At 40.4% G+C, this 25,779-nt stretch overlaps 1 protein-coding gene, 2 long non-coding RNA genes and 1 pseudogene across 41 annotated transcripts in view, besides 2 other annotated features; 1 reads left to right on the top strand and 3 right to left on the bottom strand.

Annotated features, from left to right (window-relative positions):
* LOC107984543 (uncharacterized) overlaps positions 1-21,927 on the bottom strand; it is a 104,864-nt gene extending 82,937 nt beyond the window's left edge. Inside the window, exons 1-2 of the long non-coding RNA XR_007063399.1 lie at positions 21,885-21,927; positions 16,801-16,927 (exon numbers count right to left, since the gene is read on the bottom strand). This is a non-coding gene — a long non-coding RNA (uncharacterized LOC107984543). The remainder of the gene's footprint in view (positions 1-16,800; positions 16,928-21,884) is intronic.
* RNA5SP365 (RNA, 5S ribosomal pseudogene 365) lies at positions 7,122-7,228 on the bottom strand (annotated as a pseudogene).
* Positions 22,212-25,209, bottom strand: ATP2B1-AS1 (ATP2B1 antisense RNA 1). The gene has a single exon (NR_028138.1). It is a non-coding gene; the product is annotated as an ATP2B1 antisense RNA 1 (long non-coding RNA).
* Positions 24,088-24,637: a silencer, noted in NCBI's record as "silent region_4698". NCBI's record gives its function as "represses an Ori minimal core promoter by ATAC-STARR-seq in GM12878 lymphoblastoid cells {active_cell/tissue: GM12878}" and the evidence as "EXISTENCE:reporter gene assay evidence [ECO:0000049][PMID:35858748]".
* Positions 24,658-25,677: a silencer, noted in NCBI's record as "silent region_4697". NCBI's record gives its function as "represses an Ori minimal core promoter by ATAC-STARR-seq in GM12878 lymphoblastoid cells {active_cell/tissue: GM12878}" and the evidence as "EXISTENCE:reporter gene assay evidence [ECO:0000049][PMID:35858748]".
* ATP2B1 (ATPase plasma membrane Ca2+ transporting 1) overlaps positions 24,798-25,779 on the top strand; it is a 121,318-nt gene continuing 120,336 nt past the window's right edge. For 20 of the 39 annotated variants that reach the window (NR_182094.1, NR_182093.1, NM_001413053.1 and 17 more), the window contains exon 1: positions 24,798-24,945. The gene's annotated coding sequence lies outside the window, so the exon portion shown is untranslated. Of the gene's footprint in view, positions 24,946-25,325; positions 25,771-25,779 lie in introns of those variants that run through there. The other 19 variants (NR_182095.1, NM_001413057.1, NM_001413058.1 and 16 more) reach the window with 2 other exon arrangements.

Here is a 25,779-nt window from a genome sequence, read left to right as displayed (position 1 = left end):
AACATGTAAAATCTGGCAGGGATCTAAAACAAGCAGTGATTTCCAAATCAGCCAGACATAAGTGGCTAAGAAGAAAGGAATTTACAACCCATACATCTTTTCTCTACCCACAAAAAGACCAACTTTTATAGGGAGAACAAACTCCTGGAAAATGTCCATTGAACACTATGTATTCACCACTTTATTGAGAACTTTATGTGTATTCCCTCATTTAGTCCTTACAAACCACACTACTGAGTGGATATTATTGTTATCACCCCATTTTTACAGATGACGAAATTGAAGCGCAGAGACATCAAGTAATGTTCAAGATTACACAATCAGTGAGTGACAGGATTGAGCTCCAAATTCAGTTTAACCTCAGATCCCACATCCTTATCCACCAAACCACAAGGCTCTCGTGGTAGGTATTATAATATATCGCAAGGCTGATTTTCTCCTGAAGAATGAGCAGAGGGGCCTATTTTAAGAAGATGGAAAGGACATGAGCTTTAGAATCAGCCTTGTGTCATACCTCTGGCTCTTCCTAGTATTAACTGTGCAGCTGTGGGCAAGTTATTTCACCTTAATTACTCATCTGTGAAATAGGGATGATAATATCTAGTTTGTAGGGTACAGTGACAATTAAAGAGAATATTTTAAAGTGCCTAGAATAGATCCATCACTTAAAAATACTTTAAAAGTTTTAATTTCTTTCTCAGATACATGACTAGTGCCCTACTTACAGAGAAAGAATCAATCCCATTGTATGTCACAATTTTTCATAAGAATTTCTCATTACATAATTAAATATTTATATTGAGAGAAAAAAGTGCTACAGAAATTTAGATTTATCTGTCTCTCTTGCCAGTTCAGTTTCTGTCCTGCCTAGTATGAACAAAAGAATTAATTCTTTTAACAAAAGGTTACCATTGACAAATAATTAGTATTAGCATTCAACACAATTTTTCATTGGTAATAGAAATAGTTTTAGAAAATGCTTACTTTTTAGTTACAATTAGTATTAGAATGACCTATAATATAATATGAGAAAGAAAAAAATGCTCTAGACTAGTATCTAGTTCCATAGTTTACTAAGTACCATAGGGGGAGAAATGGAGATATTAGAATATCAGCATTTCTGTTACAATCTTATGAACATGATTAGCATGAATATTTTATTACCAACAGTGTATAGTCACAGTTTTGTAAGAAAATGATTTTCTTTTCTACAGCTAAAAGCACAAAATTGGCACTCAACCACTTATAACTCTTATAATAATTTATACTTCTATTTTAATTCTTAAATTAGCTACTTGCCTACCAAATAACAAAGAATGTCGATTTTGTTTACCATTCTCAAGTTCTGTACTTTCCAAATAAGGATGAGAAATAAACTGAGAACAGGCAGGCAGTCCAAGTATACAGAACATAAGTGTACCAGGGAAGAAGTAGGACAGCTTGCAATGACCTAAGAAGAAAGCTTGGAGCAATTAGAAGAAGGAGGAGAAAACGTAGCTAGAGGTCAAGGGTAAAGCAGTTTACTATAGAGGCCTAGACAAATATATGACAAACACAGAAGTTGGAAACATTCTTGACTTCTAATAATGCTGTATTTATAAGTACCATATTTAAAAACCAGAATTATCCTCTAGCATACATTTTATAATGGCTTAAGTTACAAATTAGAGTTTTTAATCTCAGAGTAGGAGGACTTCTCTAAAGCCACAGAATATGAGTATTATAGAAGTAAGAGAGAAATGGGTAAGAAAACAAGTCCTGGTGATTCCAATCTTCTTAAAAATTATGATGCTTTCTTTCTTTCTTTCTCTCTCTCTCTCTCTTTCTTTCTTTTAACAATTGAGTAGAACAGCAGAAGCACCTGGATCTTGAAGAGAACAGATCTTGAGAGAACTTAAGGAGAGGCATAAAAGACCAAAGAGATTGCTGAGACTGTAAGAAAGCAGTCTCTGAGCGTGACACTGTGCTGTTGACACAGAGTAACAGAAGACATGACTGTGATTATTAAACAAAGCCTTTTATGGCCAACGACTTACAAAGGAGTCACAAATCTCTGTTAATTATATAATAAGTGCATTTCTAAAAGCCTCCTATGAATGAACCAGTGGAGATCAATTAAAGGGATAACAGTTTACTCTTTGCTTATTAAGTTACTATCAGCAAAAACAAGGAAACAAAAAAAAAGAAAATGGACTTTTGTCCATGGAGGGTATTAAAACTTTATGCATCTTTACAGTCATAGAAAATTTCACAAATTATTACACTTAGGATTTTTGGGGATTAGCACATGCACTAAATGAGATGCAGTGGAAAAGTGACACAGGGGAAAGCCTGAAAGTCATGTGCCTATTAGGGCCCTGAATCATCATCCTGGCAAGAATGTGAAGGGGCCGATTGCTACACATCCTCTTACTTTTTATTTTTTATTTTTACGGGCCAAGTAGAGAGATAAATGTTTGTATAAAGAAAAAGAATTGAATGGCAATTCAGATATAATGTCCCATTTGGTCTTTTTAGAAGGAAAGTGTTACACATAAAAAGGTAGGTAGTTCCCTGTATGTTCTATGATTTGAGACACACCCAAAGGGGTGCCTGCTTTCTAACTAAAAAATATGTGTCCCACTGATTGAGGCATCTGAAATTCACATTATCACCTACCACTTTAGGCTTATAGCATGGAAAGGAAGACTCTAGGTCTGTTGGAAAATGGGGCCACGGTAAACCAGGAAGAGGGAGCCTGGGCAGTGAGAGAGTGTTCAGTATTCAAAAGATGACACAGAAAGGTCAGCAAGGGGCAAATGGAAAGGCACAAAAAATAGCTTTAAGAATTTGGCCCAAAGGAAATGAGAGTTCGATATTTTCTATCAGTGAGTAAGATATTACTCACTGAATTGGTCATTTTTGGCATCAATTATTTTTGATGCTTACTGAGTTGTGTTTTGTGTATTTATTATAAACGCTCTGTTTCTTTTTGGAAACTGATTTTGTCATTTGGCTCCTTTCCAGATCAGTTTCCTTCCAATCACCATTAATGGGTATTGATTGAATGTGACAATTTTAGCCTCAGATGGACTAAATGCCTTAATAGAGAGAGATTTATATGCAAGATCTATTTTTACCTAAATCTTTAGGGTTTGGTTCAGACAGAGTGATTATAGAAATCATATGCATATACGATAAACATTTTTGTATCTATACAACTTTTAAATACACTACATATATATATCTTTGTTATATATATATATGTTATATATATATGTGTGTGTTTGTGTGTATGTATATATATATATTCCAAGAATTTCACCTAAAGGGAAATTCTATTTTTCTGTCTTACTCATTAAATTGGCCATTTTTGGCCTCAATTATTTTCTTGCTTGTTACCAATGTTATATATACCATATTCAAATATTTGTTATCTTTCTGTATATATTGTACTTATAATTTTTATGAATAAAAGTATATGCACATTTTAAACTGTAACGTCTTAAGACATTTAATCTGTCTAGATGGTTACTCATGTCTAGATGATTCAATTGATATCAGAATCCTATCAAGACGAACTTCTTATTTCTCCTCACCTTCACCCCCACCACCACTTGCCTAGTTTATGTTTTCATCAGTTCCACTTGCATTACTGAAATAGCCTGGCCTTGCTGGAGGGTCATTCCTGCCCCCTGCTACCATTAATTCATAATGCTGTCAGAGTCGTTTTTAAAAACAAATCTGATCCAAGCACCTGCTGCTTAAGACTCCATGATGGCTTCACACTGCCTTTCCACTATCATCACTTACTCTCAAAACTATCTTCTTCACGAAAAAAATTGCTAACATCACGTTTTTATCAAGTTATCTAATCTTTGCCTCAAAACCTTCTTCCAGGAATCACCCTAAATGTGGCAATTGATATCAGAATCCTATAGGGACAAACTCCTTAATATTTCCCTTTATCTTCACCACCACAACCACTTGCCTCGTTTGTGTCCTCATCACAAAGAAGAGTACTCATCTTTGTGTCTATGTGTACTCAGTGTCTTGAGTAAGACAACCACTGATCAACCAGCTGCAGCAATGGTTTGGGGACAAAGGCAGGAGTGTACCATTTCATCTTATCAAGGGAGTGTCTGGTTTGGGTGAGCTAGGGTGGATATTTGTAAAATTCTGTGTCTTGGCTCAAAATGTTAAGACTGCTACAAAAATCTACTAAGCTAATTAACTTTCTCTTTGTTGTCTTTTAATTTGCTTTAAAAGACCAATCCTTTAAAAAGTCTTTCCTTCCTACTTAGAATTATTTAGAAAGGAGTTTGGAGTTTGGAGGCTCTAAGAGAGCAAATCAACTCCTTGACCAAAGTATGTACTCCTATTTCGAAGACAGATTTGATGGCCCAACTAGAAACTGATTTTCAGACAGAACCATGTGAAATGATAAGAGCAGATATCGTGTACTCTACTTGCTTTTTTGTTTGTTTGTTTGTTTGTTTGTTTGTTTGAGACGGAGTCTCGCTCTGTCGCCCAGGCTGGAGTGCAGTGGCACGATCTCGGCTCACTGCAAGCTCCGCCTCCTGGGTTCACGCCATTCTCCTGCCTCAGCCTTCGGAGTAGCTGGACTACAGGCGCCCGCCACCGCGCCGGGCTAATTTTTTGTATTTTTAGTAGAGACAGGGTTTCACCGTGTTAGCCAGGATGGTCTCCATCTCCTGACCTCGTGATCCCCCCGTCTCGGCCTCCCAAAGTGCTGGGATTACAGGCATGAGCCACCGCGCCCGGCCTCTACTTGCTTTTTTTTTTTTTGGTTTAAAGTCAGCTGAGTTAACCCTGCTAAAAAGGTTGCCATCAGATTTTCTTTGCCACTCTAGTTCAAAAGTAGGTACGGTGGCTGGGATATTATTTTCTATACTTATCTGTAAGTTTAAAATTTTCATAAATCAAAATGAAAACTAAAAATTACTTTTAAGAAGATATGTCAAAAATTTCTCTCACATTACCCCGCTGCTTACTTTCTTTTACCTATGAAATTTATCAGTAGGAGCATGTGTTGTATATGAGGTTTGTGTGTCTATATGAAGTGTTTTTCTAAGCTTCTTTTGGCTTTTCAGAAATATTTTCATTTGTTACCTTTTTTTAACTTTTATTTTAGGTTCAAGGGTACGTGTGCAGGTTTGTTACATGGGTAAATTGTGTGTCCTGGGGGTTTGGTGTACAGAGTATTTCATCACCCAGGTAATAAGCATAGTACCCACTGGTTATTTTTCCTGATCCTCTCCCTCCTCCCACTCTCCACCCTCAAGTAGGCACTGGTATCTGTTTTTCCTTTCTTTGTGTCCATGTGTACTCAGTGTTTAGCGCCCATTTATAAGTGAGAACATACGATATTTGGTTTTCTCTTCCTGCATCAGTTTGCTTAGGATAATTGCCTCCAGCTCTGTCCATGTTGCTACAAAGGACATGATCTCATTCTTTGTTATGGCTGTGTAATAGTCTATGGTGCATACACACCACATTTTCTTTATCCAGTCTAGTTGATGGGCATTTAGGTTGATGCTATGGCTTTGCTATTGTGGAGAGTGCTGTTATGAACGTATGAGTGCATGTGCCTTTATAGCAGGATGATTTATATTCCTGTGGGTATATACCCAAAATGGGACTGCTGGGTTGCATGGTAGTTCTGATCTATGTTCTTTGAGAAATCACCGAACTGCTTTCCACAATGGCTAAACTAATTTACACTCCCACCAACAGTGTACAAACGTCCCCCTTTCTCCTCAACTTTGCTAGCATATGTTATTTTTTTACTTTTTAGCAATACCATTCTAACTGAGGAGAGAGGTATCTCATTATGGTTTTTATTTGCATTTCTCTATTGATTAATGACGAGCTTTTTTTCCTATGTTTGTTGGTCACATGTACATCTTTCGAAAAATGTCTACTGATGTACTTTGCCCACTTTTTAATTTGGTTTTTCATTTTTTGCTTGTTAATTTGCTTAAGTTCCTTATAGATGCTGGATATTAGACCATTATTGGATTCATAGTTTGCAAATATTCTCTCCCATTCTATAGGTTGTCTGTTTACTCTATTGATAGTTTCTTTTGCTGCACAGAAGCTCTTTAGTTTAATTAGGCCCCATTTGTCAATTTTTGTTTTTGTTGCAATTGCTTTTGGTGTCTTTTTCATGAAATCTTTGCCAGGGCCTATGCCCAGAAAGATATTTCCCAGGTTATCTTTTAGAGATTTTACAGTTTTAGGTTTTTATGTTGAAGTCTTTAATCCATCTTGAGTTGATTTTTGTACATGGTGTAAGGAAGGAATCCAGTTTCAATCTTCTGCATGTGGCTAGCCAGTTATCCCAGCACCATTTTAAAATTATTTTTAGTATAATATTTGTTTTGTTGGTTTGTTGTTTTTATTTTTTAACTTTTATTTTAAGTTCAGGGGTACAGGTGCATGTTTGTTACATAGGTAAACTCATGTCACAGGGGTTTGTTGTACAGATTATTTTGTCACACAAGTATTAAGCCTAGTACCCATTAGTCATTTTTTCTGATCCTTTCCCTTCACCCACTCTCCACCCTCCAGTAGGCCCCAGTGTCTGTTGTTTTCCTCTATGTGTCCATGTGCTCTCATCATTCGGCTTCTACTTATAAGTAAGAACATGCAATATTTGGCTTTCTGTTTCTGCATTAGTTTGCTAAGAAACATGGCCTCCAGCTCCATCCATGTTCTCTCAAATGACATGATCTCATTCTTTTTTTGTGGTTTGATAGTATTCCATAGTGTATATGTACCACATTGTCTTTATCCAGTCAACTATTGATGGCATTTAAGTTGATTCCATGTCTTTGCTGTTGTGAATCATGCTGCAATGAACATACATGAGAATGTGCCCTTATGGTAGAATAATTTGTATTCCTTTGGGTATATATCCAGTAATGGGATTGCTAGGTTGAATGGTAGTTCTGTTTTTAGGCCTTTGAGGAATCATCACACTGTTTTCCACAATAATTGAACCAACTTACACTCTCACCAACAGTGTATAAGCATTCGTTTTTCTCCATAATCTCACCAGCATGTTATTTTTTGACTTTTTAATGTAGCCATTCTGACTGGTGTGAGATGGTATCTCATTTTGGTTTTGATTGGCATTTCTCCCATCCAAGTACTAACCAGGCCTGATCTTGCTTAGCTTCCGAGATGAGACGAGACTGGTCAGGTTCAGGGTGGTATGGCCATAGATTGATTTGCATTTCTCAAATGATCCATGATGTTGAGCTTTTTAAAATATGATTGTTGGCTGCATGTATGTCTTTTGGAAAGTGTCTATTTAAGTCCTTTGCCCACTTTTTAATGGAGATGTTTGTTTTTTTCTTGTAAGTTTAAGTTATTTATAGATGCTGGATATTAGACCTTTGTCAGATGCGTAGTTTGCAAATATTTTCTCCCATACTATAGGTCGATTGTTTACTTTGTTGATAGTTTCTTTTGCTGTGCAGAAGCTCTTTAGTTCAATTAGATCCCATTTGTCAATTTTCGCAACTGCTTTGGAAATCTTCATCATGAAATCTTTGCCATTTCCTATGTCCAGAATGGTATTGCCCAGGTTGTCCTCCAGGGATTTTGTAGCTTGGGGTTTTACATTTAAGTCTTTAATCCTTCTTGAGTTGGTCTTTGTATATGATGTAAGGAAGGGGTCCAGTTTCAATCTTCTGCATATAGCTAGCCAGTTCTCCCAGTACCCTTTATTGAATAAGGAGTCCTGAGTCTTTTCCCCATTGCCTGTTTTTGTCAGTGTTGTCAAAGATTAGATGGGTGGTAAGTGTGCAGCCTTCTGTCTGGGCTCTCTATTCCATTTCATTTGTCTGTGGGCCTGTTTTTGTATCTGTACCATGCTGTTTTGGTTCCTGAAGCTCTGTGGTATAGTTTGAAGTTGGGTAGCATAATGCTTCCAGTTTTCTTCCTTTTGCTTAGAATTGCCTTTGCTATTTGAGCTCTATTTTGGTTCCATATGAATTCTAAAATAGATTTTTCTGGTTCTGTGAAGACTATCATTAGTAGTTTGATAGTAATAGCACTGAATCTATAAATTGCTTTGGGCAGTATGGCCATTTTAATGATATGCATTCTTTCTATCCATGAGTATGGAATATTTTTCCATTTGTCTGTGTCATCTCTGAATCAATCTTTGAGCAATGTTTTCTAGTTCTCCTTGCAGAGATCTTTCACCTCCCTGTTAGCTGTATTCCTAGGTATTTTATTCTTTTTGTGACAATTGTGAATGAGATTGTGTTCCTGATTTGGCTTTCAGCTTGACTGTTGCTGGTGTATAGGAATGCTAGTGACTTTTGTACATTGATTTTGTATCCTGAGATTTCACTGAAGTTGTTTATCAGCTTAAGTAGCTTTTGAGCTGAGACTATGGAGTTTTCTAGATACAGAATTATGTCAGCTGGAAATAAAAATAGTTTGACTTCTTTTCCTTTTTGGATGCCATTTATTTCTTTCTCTTGACTGATTGCTCTGGCCAGGACTTTCAAAACTGTGTTGAATAGGAGTGGTGAGAGAGGGCATCCTTGTCTTGTGCCAGTTTTCAATGGAACATTTCCAGCTTTTGCCCATGCAGTATGATGTTAGATGTGGGTTTGTCATAGACGGTTCTTTTTATTTTCAGGTATGTTCCTTCATACGTAGTTTATTGAGAGTTTTTAACATAAATGGGTGCTGAATTTTATAAAAAGCTTTTCAGCATCTATTGAGGTGATCATGTGGCTTTTGTCTTATGTTTATGTGATGAATCACATTTATTGATTTGCATATGTTGAACCAAACTTACATCCCAGAAATAAGGCCTACTTGATTGTGGTAGACACACTTTTTGATGTGCTGCTGGATTTAGTTTGCCAGTATTTTGGTGAAGATTTTTGCATTGATATTCATCAAGGATATTGGCCTTAAGTTTTCTTTTTGTGTTGCCAGTATCATTTATTGAATAGGGAATCTTTTCTCTGTTGCTTGTTTTTCTCTACTTTGTCAAAGAGCAGATGGTTGTAGGTATGCTGCTTTATTTCAGGACTCTCTTATTTTTATCTGTTACTTTACAAGTATTAGAATTATTGAACTATTCAAAAACTGCTATCTTATTTTGTTGCAGTACTGAAAATAATGTAAGATAAGTGTTGCTCTCCCTGTTTTAAAGATGAGTGACTAGGATTGTAAAGAATTCACTGATTTGTTTTATCTTCTTGAGTCCACTACATCAACAAAATTAAAATAATGTAACATATTTTATGCCCTCCACAAAGTTTCCAGTCATAAATGTCTCCATATCTTATTCCTACCATTATTGCCTATGCATAATAACTTAAATAATGACAGCCATCAGCATTTACAATAAAGTAGGAATTTTGTTTATGATTTAGATTTCTAGATATAAATTTTAAAGTCCAAGTTTTATTAAGACTAATTAAGAGGGAAAGTATTATACTTCACAATAATTTAAAATATTCTTGTCTTACACATGCCAGTTATGACTGATTTCCAAGTTAATTAAATATAGAATTGCTACATATTTCTCTCTCTCTGTCTCTCTCTCTCTCACACACACACACACACACACACACACACACATATATATTATATATATATATATATATGCTAGATTCTAGCATATTAGTCATCATCAGTATGTCTTTCAGGACTTTAGAAATAACCATATAGAATATAATTTTTTTTGAAAGTGCTCTCAGGATATCTAAAGTACTATTTTTACATTTTGGTCTCAGAGTGCAATAGCTTCATTATTTTGCTTAGAAATTCATTGCTTAGTTTTTGCATGTACATGAAGGATGTCATAGGCTCCATCTATAATAAGCAGCTTATCCAGTATGTTAATTTTTTAAATGCTGCTCAAAAAAAAGAGGCTGCCTTCTTCTGATAAACCCCAGAGTTTAATAACATGTCCTCTGAATTAATTCTGTAAATGCAGTACTAAAGTTTAGCACAACGATCTGGGCTGTTTAATTAGCTCACAGCTGCACTGCTGGGATAACATTTCTTGTTGAGGAGGTAGCTTGATATTCGTTATTGGGCTTTGGTTCAGAGTTCAATGGCCGTTTTAAGCTTTCTTAAAGAATTGCTTGTCTTTGTTTTCAGGGAAGAACATAATCATTACTCAGAAACACTTGTTAGTTTTCTTGCCGTGCCTGTATAGTCATTGATTTGACCCTAACATAACAAAGTGTGGCAATCTTTTAGACACTGAAGGATCCTATAAGATAAAAAACGTTATCTGACTTTTTAGTTTGACTAATATATGTCACATCGATAGAGCCTAAATCTCAATTTCTTTACTATTTCAAAATTCTTTAAATTTTTTAAATCTCCTTTTAAATGATGAATATGGATAAAATTTAAAAATTCCCTTTGAGGCTATATAATTATATAAAAATTCCCTTTGAGGCTGTATAAATTATAACTATGTTTTCTACATTTTTCAGTACATTATATTATTTTTATACACACTAGAGAATATTAAGACAATATCAAATGTGGCAGATTATGTGGGTAAATAATGAATTTAAACACCCATTTACTGAGTATCTATCATGAAAAACTACATTAATTTCAACCTCACAAGAACCTTAGAAGTTTATCCTCATTTTATACAGGCAGGAACTAAAAAATCAGAGCAGTTAAGGAACTTGCCCAAGATCACACAGCTGATAAATTTCAGAAATGGAGTTGGAATCCTTATATCAAAGCTCAGGCTCTTTCTAACATTATGTTGCCTCCTTCTCAAAGCTAAGTTTCAGATTTATCTTTCTCATAATATTCTTTCCAATTAACTTGAATTCCTTCAGGATGAATTGATACAGCATGTATTACACTGTCACATTTTTATGTTTTTCTTTGGACTTCTCTCTCTTGCTGTTTCACTTGTCAGCACCACTAGATGTATATGTTCCCTAAGTCCAGACACTCTATGCTGTATCCTCTATTTCCTTGTATGTCCCCACAGCAAGAACCACTTTGGAAAAATAACAACTTTTTACCCTGGTTATGCTGGGGTATGATTACAGGGATCTTTCACTTTTTACACTATATATATCTGTATTGTTTGAATTATAAAAAAAACACACATACATACATACAGATAATTATCTATACCTAATATTTAAAAACTTAACGATAAATGTCCAATGCGAAAAAAAACAAAGAATATATACACATTTATATAATATACCTAGTTTTACCATTTGAATTCTTGGAGATTAAAAACAAAAGAGTTAAATGAGGGAGGCATCTTAGTATTTTTCTATTTATAATAGTAATGGAAAAGGTTCTAAAAATCTGGAAGAAATGTCTAAGACACAGAACTAAGAAAAATACGAGGATATTAAGTGCCCAACACTTCATTTTTAGAGACACAAAAAGGAATGATTAAGGATAATGAGAATTTATATCACTGTTGGAAAGTGATGCAAAATTTAAATGTAAACATGTATGCAAAGCAAGCATTAAAACAATATATAGGTTGGGCATGGTGGCTCACGCCTGTAATCCCAGCACTTTGGGAGGCCAAGGCAGGTGGATCATGAGGTCAAGAGATGGAGACCATCCTGGCCAATATGGTGAAACCCCGTCCCTACTAAAACTACAAAAATTAGCTGGGCAAGGTGGTGTGCACCTGTAGTCCAAGCTACTCGAGAGGCTGAGGCAGGAGAATCACTTGAACCTGGGAGATGGAGGTTGCAGTGAGCCCCGATTGCGTCTTAAAAAAATATATATATATGTAAGAAAATCAAAGAACTAAAAACATGATTTTTAGTTAGACTAGGGCCACCCTCCAAAACGTTAACACAAATACAGAAGTTATGTATTTATATCAGTAACAGCCCAAAGAGAACTTATTATGACCAAATCAAAATGATTAAATCTTCATTCTTTGTGATAGATTATTTAGGTAGAAGTGTTCTTGAAGTCCTATAAACAAGACTGTATTGGGAAAAGCAATTTTGCTTGGTAAACTTTGTGTTTGACAGTAGAGTGACTTTCTATAGCTTACATTGAAAGAAGGCATTTGAGAAATGTGTACTTTTTAAAAAACAAATTAGTTGAATAAAATAAGAAATGAAACCGATAATAGAAAAATACAGTCAACTCTTAATGCTGTGATTGTGATAAAGGATAGCCAAGCATTACAAATTGGCTAGAATTTGGAACTGGAAAAGCCAGAAATTCAGCAGAGTTGAGAATTTTGACAAGGTAAGGGAATCAGTCATCAGGACTTTTTCTTTTTTCAGAAACAGGCATAAACAAAGTTCAAGACGAGCCAGTGAGGTCAGAAACTAAGCAACAAGTAAGCAGAAGTGAGTATAAATAGATATGAGAAGTAAGTCTAATCATTGGGCCAGCAATTGGGCAAGCAAGAAGAATAAGAAGGTAGTTATTGGAGTTCAGGGCAAACAATGTGGACCTGGAGGATACCGGCTCCAAAAGAGGAAAGGAAGTAAATGGTCAGAACCCGGCAGGTGGTCGGGAACCAGGAAATTCACAATAGCCCGATGGGGAGAGTAAGTTGGACAACTTAATTCTGTGACAAGTTGTCTCCAGAAATTTCTCCATCATTACCATAAAGAAATGTCATGAAGAAATCAGCATTTGTAGGTCTTGAGAGTAGAAATAGGAAGGTGCATCTGACCAGACATAGCTCATTGCCAGGTTTTCATGGTGTTAATCATTCAGCAGTTTTATATATAAAATTTTAAAATTGATTCTCCCGCCCTGTCTCTACCTCAAGTACGTCCTTACCTGTCACATCAGCCCTCTTTCTGGAAAGCTACCTAAGCTGTGTTTCGTGTATCTGTGATCTGTAACTGCTTCATGTCTTCCAATTCACTCGTGTTTATTCCTACTCTGATTTCATTTGCCTACCTATTTGGTTAGGGCCTCAAGCTCAGCTCAATGAGGTATTTTTCTTGAACAACTGATTTCAACCATGAGCCAATGAATACTCCACACCTGTTCCTCAACAACATCTGAAGCAGAGCCTTTAACTTTCTGGGACCTTTGAACTCTTCTGGGAGTTTTTAGATGAGGCCAGCAAAGCCTTCTACTGCCTATCAATGAAATTTTAATCTACTACTGTTAAAATCTTAAATCTCTATCTGAGTAAAAGGTTCTCTCCCCCATCACTGTCTGTGTGTATTGAGGATTGGAGAGTGCTCACTCAGTATCTGCATTTTACTCCCCTCCCCTTTCCCTTCTGGAAGCTGTGGCTCTTCCAGTGTTGAGGGCACGGAGGGTGGAGAAGACAAGGGCAGTCCCTTTGCTTGGCTAGACTCTATCGAAATCCCCTCTGGCTGTCAATACTTTTTTTTTTTTTTTGAGACGGAGTCTCGCTCTGTCGCCCAGGCTGGAGTGCAGTGGCGGGATCTCGGCTCACTGCAAGCTCCGCCTCCCGGGTTCACGCCATTCTCCTGCCTCAGCCTCCCAAGTAGCTGGGACTACAGGCGCCCGCCACTACGCCCGGCTAATTTTTTGTATTTTTAGTAGAGACGGGGTTTCACCGTTTTAGCCGGGATGGTCTCGATCTCCTGACCTCGTGATCCGCCCGCCTCGGCCTCCCAAAGTGCTGGGATTACAGGCGTGAGCCACCGCGCCCGGCCTGTCAATACTTTTAATGTGGCAGGCAACCAAACACTGACTTTTTAGTGGGTCTATGTGGGAGTTTCTGGAAGAGCTCAGCAAGGCCTTGTACTGCTGTCTCCTATCATATGAGATAGGCTTCTTACCAACCTCTTGTTCCTCATTGTAACTCTCTTCTCTGGAGCTGCACCCTGTAGTCTCCTGATAGGTGCTCTCACCTGGCTGGCAGCTTCATTCCAAGCTGTCTTACAAGGAAACTTAAGCATCTATGCCAAGCCACATGGTGGGGACAAAAAGATGACTCTCCTTCCACTCTTCCTCTCACTCTGGCTCCCCTCTCCATTTCTCTTTACTCTCCTAAGTTAAAAACAGATATGTCAACACATCTGTGCCTATGCAGACATCCAACAGGGTACGCAGAAACTTCAAATGTTTATGAAAGGAGTGACTTTCTTGGGAACTCTGCTTTTTTTTTTTTTTTTTTTTTTTTGAGATGGAATTTTGCTCGTCGCCCAGGCTGGAATGCAGTGGCATGATCTTGGCTCACTGCAACCTCCACCTCCCAGGTTCACGTGATTCTTCTGCCTCAGCCTCCCAAGTAGCTGGGATTACAGGTATGCACCACTACGCCTGGCTGATTTTTTGTATTTTTAGTAGAGATGGGGTTTCGCCATGTTGGGCAGGCTGGTCTCAAACTCCTGACCTCAGGTGATCCACCCACCTCGGCCTCCCAAAGTGCTGGGATGGGAACTCTGCTCTTTTGGTTTGTGAGAAGTATGTTCCTAGTGTTTTTCTGAAAACGTTACATTCATCTTCACTCCTATGATATTTTACCTCAGTATACATTCTGGGAGAGTTATTGTATTAGTCCATTTTCACGCTGCTGATAAAGACATACCCAAGACTGGGCAATTTACAACACAAAGAGGTTTATTGGACTTACAGTTCCACATGGCTGGGGAGGCCTCACAATCATGGTGGAAGGCAAGGAGGAGCAAGTTAATCTTATGTGGATGGCGGCACTGAAAGAGAGGGCCTTTGCAGAGAAACTGCCGTTTTTTAAAACCATCAGATCTCATGAGACCCATTCACTATCACAACAACAGTACAGGAAAGACCTGCCCCCATGATTCAATTACCTCCTACAGGGTTCCTCCCAGGACATGTGGGAATTGCGGGAGTTACAATGCAAGATGAGATTTGGGTGGGGACACAGCCAAACCATATCAGTTATTTCCCTAAGAACTTTAAAGATGTTATTCCTTTTTCTCTTGGCCTATCTACAATTGCCAATACAAAGGTGGCTGTCATGCTAAATTGTTTTTGTTTGTTTTATCCTGTCTGGTTGCTGCTAAGACTTCTCTTTGTCTTTTAATGTCATGAAGTTTCTCAGTGATGTGACTAGGGTAGATTTATTTTATGTCTTTTGTTTTTGGTACCTCTTTCCCAAAGTCTTGGGAAGAAGATGAGATTCCCTGATGCTTTTGTGACACTTCCTGAGCTAGGTAAGTTGGTAGGAAGTAGTACCAGCATACCACTGGCTATAAAGCAGGATTCTGGCTTTATGTGGTGTCATGGTCCATTTGGGCTCCTACAACAAAGTACCATAGACTGGGTAGCTCATAAACAATAGAAACTTACTTCTCACAGTTCTGGAGGCTGGGAAGTGAAAGATCCAGGTGGAGGCAGTTTTGGTGTCTGGTGAGGTCTCACTTCCAGGTATCATAGATAGTGCCTTATAGCTGTGTCCTTACATGGTAGAAGGGGCAGAATAATTTCCCTGGGTCTACTATATTTTAAAAGGGTACTAATTCCATTTGTGTGAGCTCTGCCTTATCTCCTAAAAGGTTCCACCTCCTCATCCTATCACCTTAGTGGTCAGGATTTCAACATGTGAATTTTGGGACAACATAAATATTCAGACCATAGCACATAAGGGTTCAGTTTCAGCTCCTTGCCTCACTCAGATCCAGCCACATCTCCTACCTTTAAAACTCCATGGTTACACATATCTGACTTATTTCTGAGTATGGTAATCCCCTGGGCTTAATATCTGCTTATTGTGTACTCACTCTACCTTTGAGTTCTCTATTTCTAGCACTGCATATTTCTTCTGTTTTTGTACTCAGTTGTATATTAACATTGTTTCATATATTTGTCCCAGCATTCATACATAACACCACACGTATATATACATAAACAAACATTTGAGGAGTGGGGTTGCATAATACAGGAAATCTAATCCAGTGGATCTGAAGGACCTTGTTATGTGAATTTTGAAAAATGCTAACCAAATGAGTCTGCATTATGAACTGAATTTTGTCCTCCAAAAATGTGTATGTTGAAGCCCTAATCTCCAAAGTGACTGTTTGGAGATAGGGCCTTTAGGGCAGTAATTAAGGTTAAATGACATCACAAGAGTGGGTCTTTAATCTGAAAGAACTGGTGTCTTTATAAGAAGAGGAAGAGATACCTCTCCATGCACTTGCACCAAGGAAAGGCCATGTGAGGACAGGGCAGAAGGTAGCCATTTGTAAGCCAGGTAAAGAGACCTCACCAGAAAGCAATGCTGATGATACCATAATCTTGGACATCTGGCCTCCAGAACTGTGAGAAAATAAATGCCTGTTGTTTTAGCCACCAAGTCTATGGTATTTTATTACGGAAGCCTGAGAAGACTTCATAAGCAGTCTGGTAATACAGCCTGGTAATCAGTGCCCAACTCCATCCCTCTGCACCAGAATATCCTGAACTCTTAATAGCTGTAACTATAATGGGAGCCCCAAGTTTGAGCCACCAGAGAATATCATGTAAACCTATATTGCTATAAAATTGTACTCTATTTATTTACCTGGGCCTTGGGTAACATTTTCTTTATCCTTTGCTCGTCCTTCAGTTTCTTTAATCTGCCCATTTCAGTCCTTAGCCTCATTCAATTCTGGCTAATGATCATAGGCAACAATTATATAAGGAATATTAAGACTGACATTTATGTGCCTATGTCATCCACTCCTGAAACTTCAAATTTTACTCTTTCTTCACATTTTTTTATTTTTTGCCTTTTTTCTGCCTCAGAGAAAGAGATGTTCCCTTTTCTATTCATGGTGAATTCTTTCTATATGTTCTAGATCTTACCTTCCTTTTAACTCTCCACTCACTCACCAGCACTTTTCAGCTTTCCTCCCTTGACCCCTTTTCCTCTGACACCAACAATACATAGGTCAACAAATTGGTTTTCAGTGACTTTCTTTTGATGATTGGTGAATTGGCTTCATTCCATTTTTCCTATCTGAAAGACAAAAAGAATTGACCCTGTAAGAAGTTTGTCAGGTCATCAGAATAAAGGAACAAGGCTGTGGGTATAAATTTAGAATTCATCATCAGGGAGCTGATAGTTCATTTGTTTGTTCATTCATTTGGGACAAATCTTTATTTCAAGTGCCCATTATATGCCAGTTTCAGTTAGGCATGGCATGTGTATTAGTCCATTGTCACGCTGCTAATAAAGATATACACGAGACTGGGTAATTTATAAAGAAAAGAGATCTAATTGACTCACCGTTCAGCATGGTTGGGAAGGCTTCAGGATACTTATGATCATGGCAGAAAGGGAAGCAAACATGTCCTTCTTTGCATGGTGGCAGGTAGAGAAAAATGAGAACCGAGCAAAGTGGGAAGCCCCTTATAAAACCATCAGCTCTCATGAAAACTTACTCACTATCAAGAGAATAGCATAGGGGAAACTGCCCCCATGATTCAATTACCTCCCACCAGGTCCCTCCCACAACACGTGGGGATTATGGAAACTACAATTCAAGATGAGATTTGGGTGGGGACACAGCCAAACCATATCAGCATGTAATAAGTGATTAATAAGTTTCTTTGTATAAATGAATAGATAAACCATCCTCTTATTGCCAATGCCTCCTAAAAAGACATTTCGTTTTCCTACCTTATAACAGAGGAGGGATACAGACAATGTGGTGCATCAGAATCAGCTAAAGGGACTGTCAAAAATGCAGATCTGCTGGCTCTAGTCCAGACTCCATCAGAAGCTCTGGGAGTGGGACCCAGGAATCTGCATCAGTAAACTCATAAAGGTGATTCTTTTGTGTACCCTTAAAAGTGGAGTTTTGAAGAAAAATGGGCAACAATGAAAAATTATATAAAAGTATAAGCATTAGAAAACCACAAATGTGAGAAAATCCTGCTGATATTCTTATTGATATCATATAATAGGGATGGTTGAGCCTGGATCTTCGATGGCTATGTTTAACAGCTGAATCAACCATACCATAATTTTAAGAATAATAAACTGCTATTCATTAAAGCCACTACTAGTTTAGCTCTTGGTTACTTGTAGCCAAAAGCATGTCTTACTGATTCAGATTAAGATTTTATTTGCTAGGAAGAGGCTTAGACTTTATTTAGTCAAATTAAGTGATGATTAGTGACTAAATTTGGTGCACTTTAAAAGTATCACAAATAATGTCTGTCTCACAGTATGCAAAAAATAATAATAATTTTAAGATAATAGTGTACTTGACCAAATGACACAGTTTGCATGTTGTCCCCTCCAAGTCTCATGTTGAATTGTAATTCCTGACATTGGAGTTGCAGCCTGGTGGGAAGTAATTGGGTCATGGGGGCAGATCTTCATGGCTTGGTGCTGTCCTTGCAGTAGTAAATACTCATGAGATCTGGTTGTTTAAATGTGTGTGACACCTCCTCTGCTTCTCACTCCTGCTCTTGTCATATGACATATCTGCTCCTGCCTCACCTTCTGCCATGAATAAAAGCTCCCTGAGGCCTCCCCAGAAGCTGAGCAGATACTGGTGCTATACTTCCTGTACAGCCTGCAGACTTGTGAGCCAATTAAACCTCTTTTCTTTATAAATTACCCAGTCTTTGGTATGCCTTCAAAGCAAAGCAAGAACAAGCTAACACAGAAAATTGGTACTGAGAAGTAGGGCATTGTTATAGAGATACCTGAAAATGTGGAAGCAGCTTTGGAATAGTGTAATAGGCAGAGGTTGGAAGAGTTTGGAGAGCTCAGAAGAAGATAGGAAGATGAGGGAAAGTTTGGAACTTCTTAGAGACTGGTTAAATGGTTATGATTCTGACAGTGATATGAACAGTGAAGTGCAGGCTGACTAGGTCTCAGATGCAAATGAGAATTTATCGGGAAATGGAGCAAAGGTCATCCATATTATGCCTTAGCAAAGAACTTGGCTGAATTCTGTTCATGTCCTAGTATGTGGAAGTTTGAACTAAAAAGTAATGACTTAGGGTATTTGGTGGAAGAAATTTCTAAGCAGCAAAGCATTCAAGAAATTACTTGGTTGCTTCTAACAGCCTATCCTTGGGTGTAAGAGCAAATAAATGACTTAAAGTTGGAAGTTATATTGAAAGGGGAAGCAGAGCATAAAAGTTTAGAAAATTTGCAGCCTAGCTATGTGGCAAAGAAAAAGCATTATCAGGAGAGGAATTCAAGGAGGCTGGGGAGCAACCACTTGCTAGAGTTATTAGCATGACTAAAAGGGAGCCAAGTGCTAATAGCCAAGACAACTGGAAAAAGGCCTCAAAGGCATTTCAAAGATCTTCGAGGGAACCCCTCCCATCACAGGCCCAGAGGTCTAGGAAGAAAGAATGGTTTTATGGGCGAGATCCAGGACTTTGCTGCGTTGTGCAGCCTTGGAACACTGCTCCCTGCATCCTGGTTGCTCCAGCTCCAGCCTTGGCTCAAAGGGACCCAGATAGAGCTCAGACCACTGCTTCAAAGGGTGTAAGCCTTCCACCATAAGGCTTAGCAGCTTCCATGTGGTGTTAAGCCTGTTGGTACACAGAGTGAAAGAGTGAAGGAGGCTTGGCAGCCTCCACCTAGATTTTAGAGGATGTATGAGAAAGCTTGCATGCCCAGGAAGAAGCCTGACACAGGGGCAGAGCCCTCAAAGAGAACTTCTACTAGGGCAGTGCCAAGGGGAAATGTGGGATCTGACTCCCTACACAGAATACCCACTGGGGAACTACCTAGTATAGCTATGGGAAGGTGGCCATCATCCTCCAGACCCCAGAATGGTAGATCCACTGTCAGCTTGCACCCTGCACCTGGAAAAGTCACAAGCACTCAATTCCAACTCGTGAGAACAGCCATGGTGGCTGAATCCTGCAAAGCCACAGGGGTGGAGTTGCCCAGTGCTTTGAGAGCCCAACCCTTGTGCCAGTATGCCCTAAATGCAGGACATGGAATCAAAGGAATTGTTTTGAAGCTTTAAGATTTAATGACTGCCCTGTTAGATTTCATTGTGTGGGTCCTGTAGCCCCATTCTTACGGCTGGTTTCTCCCTTTACAAATGGGAGTGTTTACCCAATGCCTATAGCCCCACTGTATCTTGAAAGAAAATAACTTCCTTTGATTTTACAGGCTTATAGGTGGAAGGAACTCATCTCCAGATGAGCTTTTGGACTTGGGACTTTTAATTGAGTTCATGCTGGAATGAGTTAAGACTTTGGTGGACTATTGGCAACAGATGAATATATTTTGCAGTGCCAGAAGACCATGAGATTTGAAGGGTCAGGGTGGAATGATATAGTTTGAATACTGTCCCCTCAAAATCTCATGTTGAATTGTAATCTCCAGTGTTGGGGGTGGGGCCTGTGGAACGTGATTGGATCATAGGGGCAGGTCCCTCATAGGTTGGTGCTGTCCTCCCAATAGTGTGTACTCAAGAGATCTGGTTGTTTAAAGGTGTGTAGCACCTCTCTCCTTCCTCCTGCTCTGGCCATGTGATGTGCTTGCTCCTGCTTCACCTTCCACCATGAGTAAAAGCTCCCTGAGGCCTCCCCAGAAGCTGAGCATATTCCAGTGCCATGCTTGTACACGCTGCAGAACTGTCAGCCAATTAAATCTCTTTTCTTTTTAAATTATCCAGCCTCAGAAACTTCCTTATAGCAACACAAGAATGGCTTAATACATCAAACAAGTAAAAATGAGTAACATTTGCTGCTGTTGGTATATCTTCTTGGTAATAGAGAATGTTTATGAATGATAATTATGACATTTATTGAACATATACTATACATCAAGCACTATGTTAAGAACTTTATATACATATCTCACCCAAACCTCATCACCCTGTGTCATAACTCACCATTATTGATGATTATGAAACATCATAACTCACCATTATTAGTGAGAAAATTACGAGTTCCACTTCGGGAAGTGAGGGATATCAAAGGTAGTGAACACGTTTCTTGAATATTAAAGGATAGAAAAATAAATGTGGTAAACTTATTAGTTCCCAGGTACGTTTCCTGGCATTACTACTGCGGATCTTTTCCATTAATTTAAATCCTATATCTCTTTCAGCACAAATCAAGTCCAAATCCTCCTTAGAAAAACTTCCTCAACATTTAGGTATGAGCTACGTCTTTTTCGCTTCTCTGGAATTTAGATTTAGGACCATATTATGTGGGTTAGAACATTTGGGGTTAAAAAAAATGTGTTATACCTAGAAGAGCACATTGTATGTAGGCACTAATAATTCCTGTCAAATGACATCTAACGATTTTGCATTTTTCACCTATAAAAATTTTCCATTATGTGACTTGAAAATTCTTATTTTAGGCTTACATATAATTATACTCCATTTAATTCAGCAAATGTAATTTGTTACTAATAGATAACAGTTCTCTGTGGGTTTCAGCTAAGTAATCTTTCTCTTGACACTTCTCTCTGGTGATTCAGGTTAATAGAAATTTGAGAACATATACAGCTATTTTAAATTAAGAATTTAATATCCTCCTTCTCTGCCTCCCTGTACTTATCAGTCCTCTTTAGGATTCTGTAATGATCAGGACTGATGCATTCACATATGTAAAATGTGTTTACGGGGAAAGAATATGTTTTTTAAAATACACTGCAGTTGATATGTCTTTATTTTGTCCTATTGCTAGATGCATGTGACAGAATAAAGTTCTTTGTTTCTCTTTACACTTAATTACATTGAGGATTTTAGAAAACTGTCTTCATGTGTTATATCTCTTGAATCGATCAACTTTTCAGCAAATATCTCAGTTGTTTAGATTTACTCTATGAAAAAGAGCATACCTTAAAAATACCAAATATATTATTTTGAATCTGCAGCCACTCTTCAATGTTAACATCTCATATGGTAACTTGTCATGGGGTTTAAATACTTTTTTGTTTTGTTTTGTTTCGTTTTGTTTTTGAGACTGAGACTCACTCTGTCGCCAGGCTGGAGTGCAGTGGTGCGATCTCGGCTCCCTGCAACCTTGGACTCCCTGGTTCAAGCGATTCTCCTGCCTCAGCCTCCTGAGTAGCTGGGATTACAGGCATGAGCCACCACGCCCAGCTAATTTTTGTATTTTTAGTAGAGACGGGGTTTCACCATGTTGGCCAGGATGGTCTCAATCTCCGGACCTCGTGATCTGCCCGCCTCAGTCTCCCGAAGTGCTGGGATTACAGACGTGAGCCACCGCACCTGACTGGATTTAAATACTTTTATAAGTTTTGCATTGTAGCTAAAATGCATATTAAAAGAACTTTAAAATATTATTTCCCCAGTAAATTGTATTATTATATTGTTCCTTATGCAAAGATACATCTCTAGATCAGTTAAACACATGGGATAAGTTAGGTCTAAGATTAAGAGAATACTGTTACATACAGTGGCATCTTTGATTTCAGATAGTTCAATTTTTTTTCAAGGAAACAGTAAGCAATGCAATATTTTCTTGATTTTTACATTGAAAAATATGTGTGAGGGATGCTTTAGTACTAAGCCTGTGGGAGAAAAAAATTGAATTTCTTAATGTAATGTGAACAGTTATTTCTATATTGCTTTCACCCTTTATTTCCTATTTGAAGAATAAAAATATAAAAACCAAACTACAGTACAATTTTCTTGACTATGACAGTAAAAGTTTGTCATTGCATATGACTCACATTTCATTAAAATGCATACAAATATGTTCCGGGATACACACACACACACGTTTTCATTTATGGATATACATGAATATATATATTCCGTATGTTTCATTTATAGATTTATCGATATAAATGAAAACTTAATTGAATCGTGTTCTTAAATAAAGATGCTCAATAATTGTTTCATGACCACAACACTTTAAGAGCATTCATTTTATAATCTGGAACTGGAACAAACCCACAAAGTGAACAGATTCTAGTTTATTACCCATTTTGCTAGTGTACTATAGCAATGATTCACATATTACTTTAATGTCAAATTCTTGATTAAAGTAGAATACATAATTCAACATTGTATTGTAACTTCCTTGGAGGAAAAGTTGGAAAAAAGCCAGTGATTCTTAAATGTCTCTGAGTCGTTTTGAAAGATATTTTAGGGGGAAATAATATTGAAATTTATTAGGTGAAATTTAGGTTATTCTTCTGTTAAAAAGATTTGAAATAGTGTCAGGAAGGGCTATTTATTGTACCACATTAACCAATTCTCCATCAGTGACTGAAGAGAGGAAAAATGCTATCATTCTGTTCAATGTTCGTTTATCTTACACATCAAGGGCACAGCTCAGAAGGCTGGTAATGTCAAGCCTAGTGAGATACATAAACTGATAAAAAAATTATTTGCAACAGCATTGATTTATATTTATTCACTTTTAAACGTCTTTTACACATTTTGTGTCTAATCTTTTAAAATATTTTAAAACAAATGCTATCATCAGATCGTGAACATAATACCATACTTCCTATTGCCTGTATGCTTTTGAGGAGGCTATATAAATATTAATTTTCCAGTTCTGGAATTAAGAGAAAGAAGATTGCAGAACTTATCTTTTTGTTCTGATTAACTGATACTGAAAATAACACTGACAAGGTCTCTGGGCCAGTGGCGACGGTGAGTTCAAATAAAGATTAGATGAAGATGAAGCGCGGTATCTTAGGTAAGATACACATCTTTACTGTGTATATGCGTGTACAAGAAGGAAAACTTGCTTTTTTTTTTTTAAGTAGATGTTACGAAGGATGGTTTTTTTTTTTTTTTCAACTTGCAAAATCTCTTGAAGGTTGGAGCAGAGCCGCCGGTTACCTTTGAGCATCGAAATACCGCAAGTTATCCCGTTTCCTTTTCCCCTCAGGAAAGATGGGTGCAGGGTTGAGATGTTACAAGAGAATTAAAAGAGAGCCACCAGCTTGGCATAGTAGAAGAAACAAACCCAAAATGAAAACACCCGGATTTTAAGCGCGGATCCTGCGAGGCCGGTTTGCACTGGCCGAACGCCTGCGTTAACCCTTTGGGCGCCGCAGCTGGGATCCCCGGTGTTTGCGGACCCGACCGGCAGGAACAGAGATGGAGTGTCCCGCGCCCGCATGGGGAGTGAGCTCTCTTCCCCAAAGAGGGAGCGAGCCGAGAAGCACTTTTTCCTCCGGTGCGTGCGTCACGGCCCGGGACAGGCGTCGAGTCCGGTTTGGAGTGGGGGCAGAGACGCGGCGAGGAGCCGCTCAAATGTCCGCTGACTGGGGGTTCGCCTTAATCTGTCCTCGCCAGGAGCGCTCGCCCTCGCCCTCCCGCTGGCTCGCTCCTGGGCCCTGGAGGGGCATGGGCCCGGGGGCGGTTCGGGAGGGGCCCCAGGTGAAGGGCGCCCGCACTTCTCCTGCGGCAATCATCGCTCTCCTGCCTCCACACGTCGCGGCAGCGGCCCGGCCCCGCGCCGAAACAGCAGCTGTGACTGACGGAGTCACCTCCCCGCGCGCCTGGCCACCCCCTCCTCCCCCGCCGCTCCCTCCTGCACCAACACGTCATGGAAACACGGACGTCAGAGCCTCTCAGCCAATCGCAGGCTGCGGCAGGAGGGAAGGGGCGCGCTGGAGGGGGCGGGGGCAGCGGCAAGCCAAGGCGCTCAGGGGAAGGAAGAAAGGGAGGGGCGTGCGGAGGCGCAAGTCCCCACCTCCGCCCCTCACTCCGGCCACCCTTTCCCGACCGCGCGGCAAGTTCTAATCGCCAGGCGCGCGCTCGCCAGCCGAGGGCGCGCTCGCCGGGTCCTCCCCTTAAACGCCCTCCCAGTGCCGCTCAGCTCCCAGTCCCGGTCCGAGCCGCGGTTCCTCCGCGCGCGCGCGCGCGCACTCGCCCGCCCCCAGGCTCCCCGCGGATCGCGTCACGTGACCGCGCTCAGCCAAGGCGGCAGCGGCGGCGGCGCGAGCTTCGGCGGCGGTGGCGGCTGTGGCAGCGGGAGCAGCTGCGCCGCCAGCGTGGAGCGGGAGGCGTGTGGGTGTGGAGAAAAGGGAGCGCCAGACCGGAACGGGTGAGCGTTCTCCTCCCCCTGCCTACCCCGGCAATCTTGCAGGCCACCCGGTGCAGACGGGGTCCCTGCCCGGAGCTGCGCGCAGCCCCCTCGTGCTCGGCCGTCCGCTCTCCGGTGCCCGCGGGCCCCGCCCCGAGTGGGGCGGGCTGCGGCGCTCACGGAGGTGGCTGCACCCCGCCCGCGGCTGCTGTTGCGGACGGCGGCGTGAGGCCGGCTGAGCTGCCCGTGCCGAGCGAGCGCGGCGCGCCCTGTGTGCCGCTCTGCGGAGCCGAGGAGGCGGGTCCTGCGGGGACGCGGGCGGCCACTCGGTGGCTGCCGGGCTCTGGGCGGGGACGGCCGGGCGCCGCCTCCTCCTCCTTCGCTGCCGCCGCCGCCTCCTCGCAGTGCAGCGTGAGTAGGGAGCCCCGGCTGGTGGACGCCGAGCCTCTCGGCTCCTTGGCCGCCCCATCCCCGAGGTGCAGCTGCACCTCCGCGTGGCGCCCCGAGCCCTGCGAGCCGGCTGCGGACGCGCTGAGGACGGAGCCCCCATCCTCTGCGTTTCCCGCTGCCCCTTAACGCCCCGCGACCCTCCCGCAGCCTGCCTTTCCTTCCCCCTCGGAAAATGGTTCCCACTGCCGGGCGAGGTGAGTGGCGGCCGCCGCCCGCCCGCGGCCGGGGGCGGCGGGGCAGGTCACCTGCGGGGGAGGCCAGGCGGAGCACGGAGGTCGGGCGTCGCGGCGGGGATCCTGATAGCTGGGTGCGCAGCGGGTTGCGCCGGATTCGGGAGAAGCTGACGGGGGCGGTCGGGGCCCCTCGCAGGTTGCCTCTTGCCGGGAGATTGTGAAGGTGAGCGGG

This window comes from Homo sapiens, chromosome 12, assembly GCF_000001405.40.
Source record: "Homo sapiens chromosome 12, GRCh38.p14 Primary Assembly".
NCBI lineage: Eukaryota > Metazoa > Chordata > Mammalia > Primates > Hominidae > Homo > Homo sapiens.
Note: the sequence above shows the minus strand (reverse complement) of the source record. Positions and strands in the feature narration are given on the sequence as shown.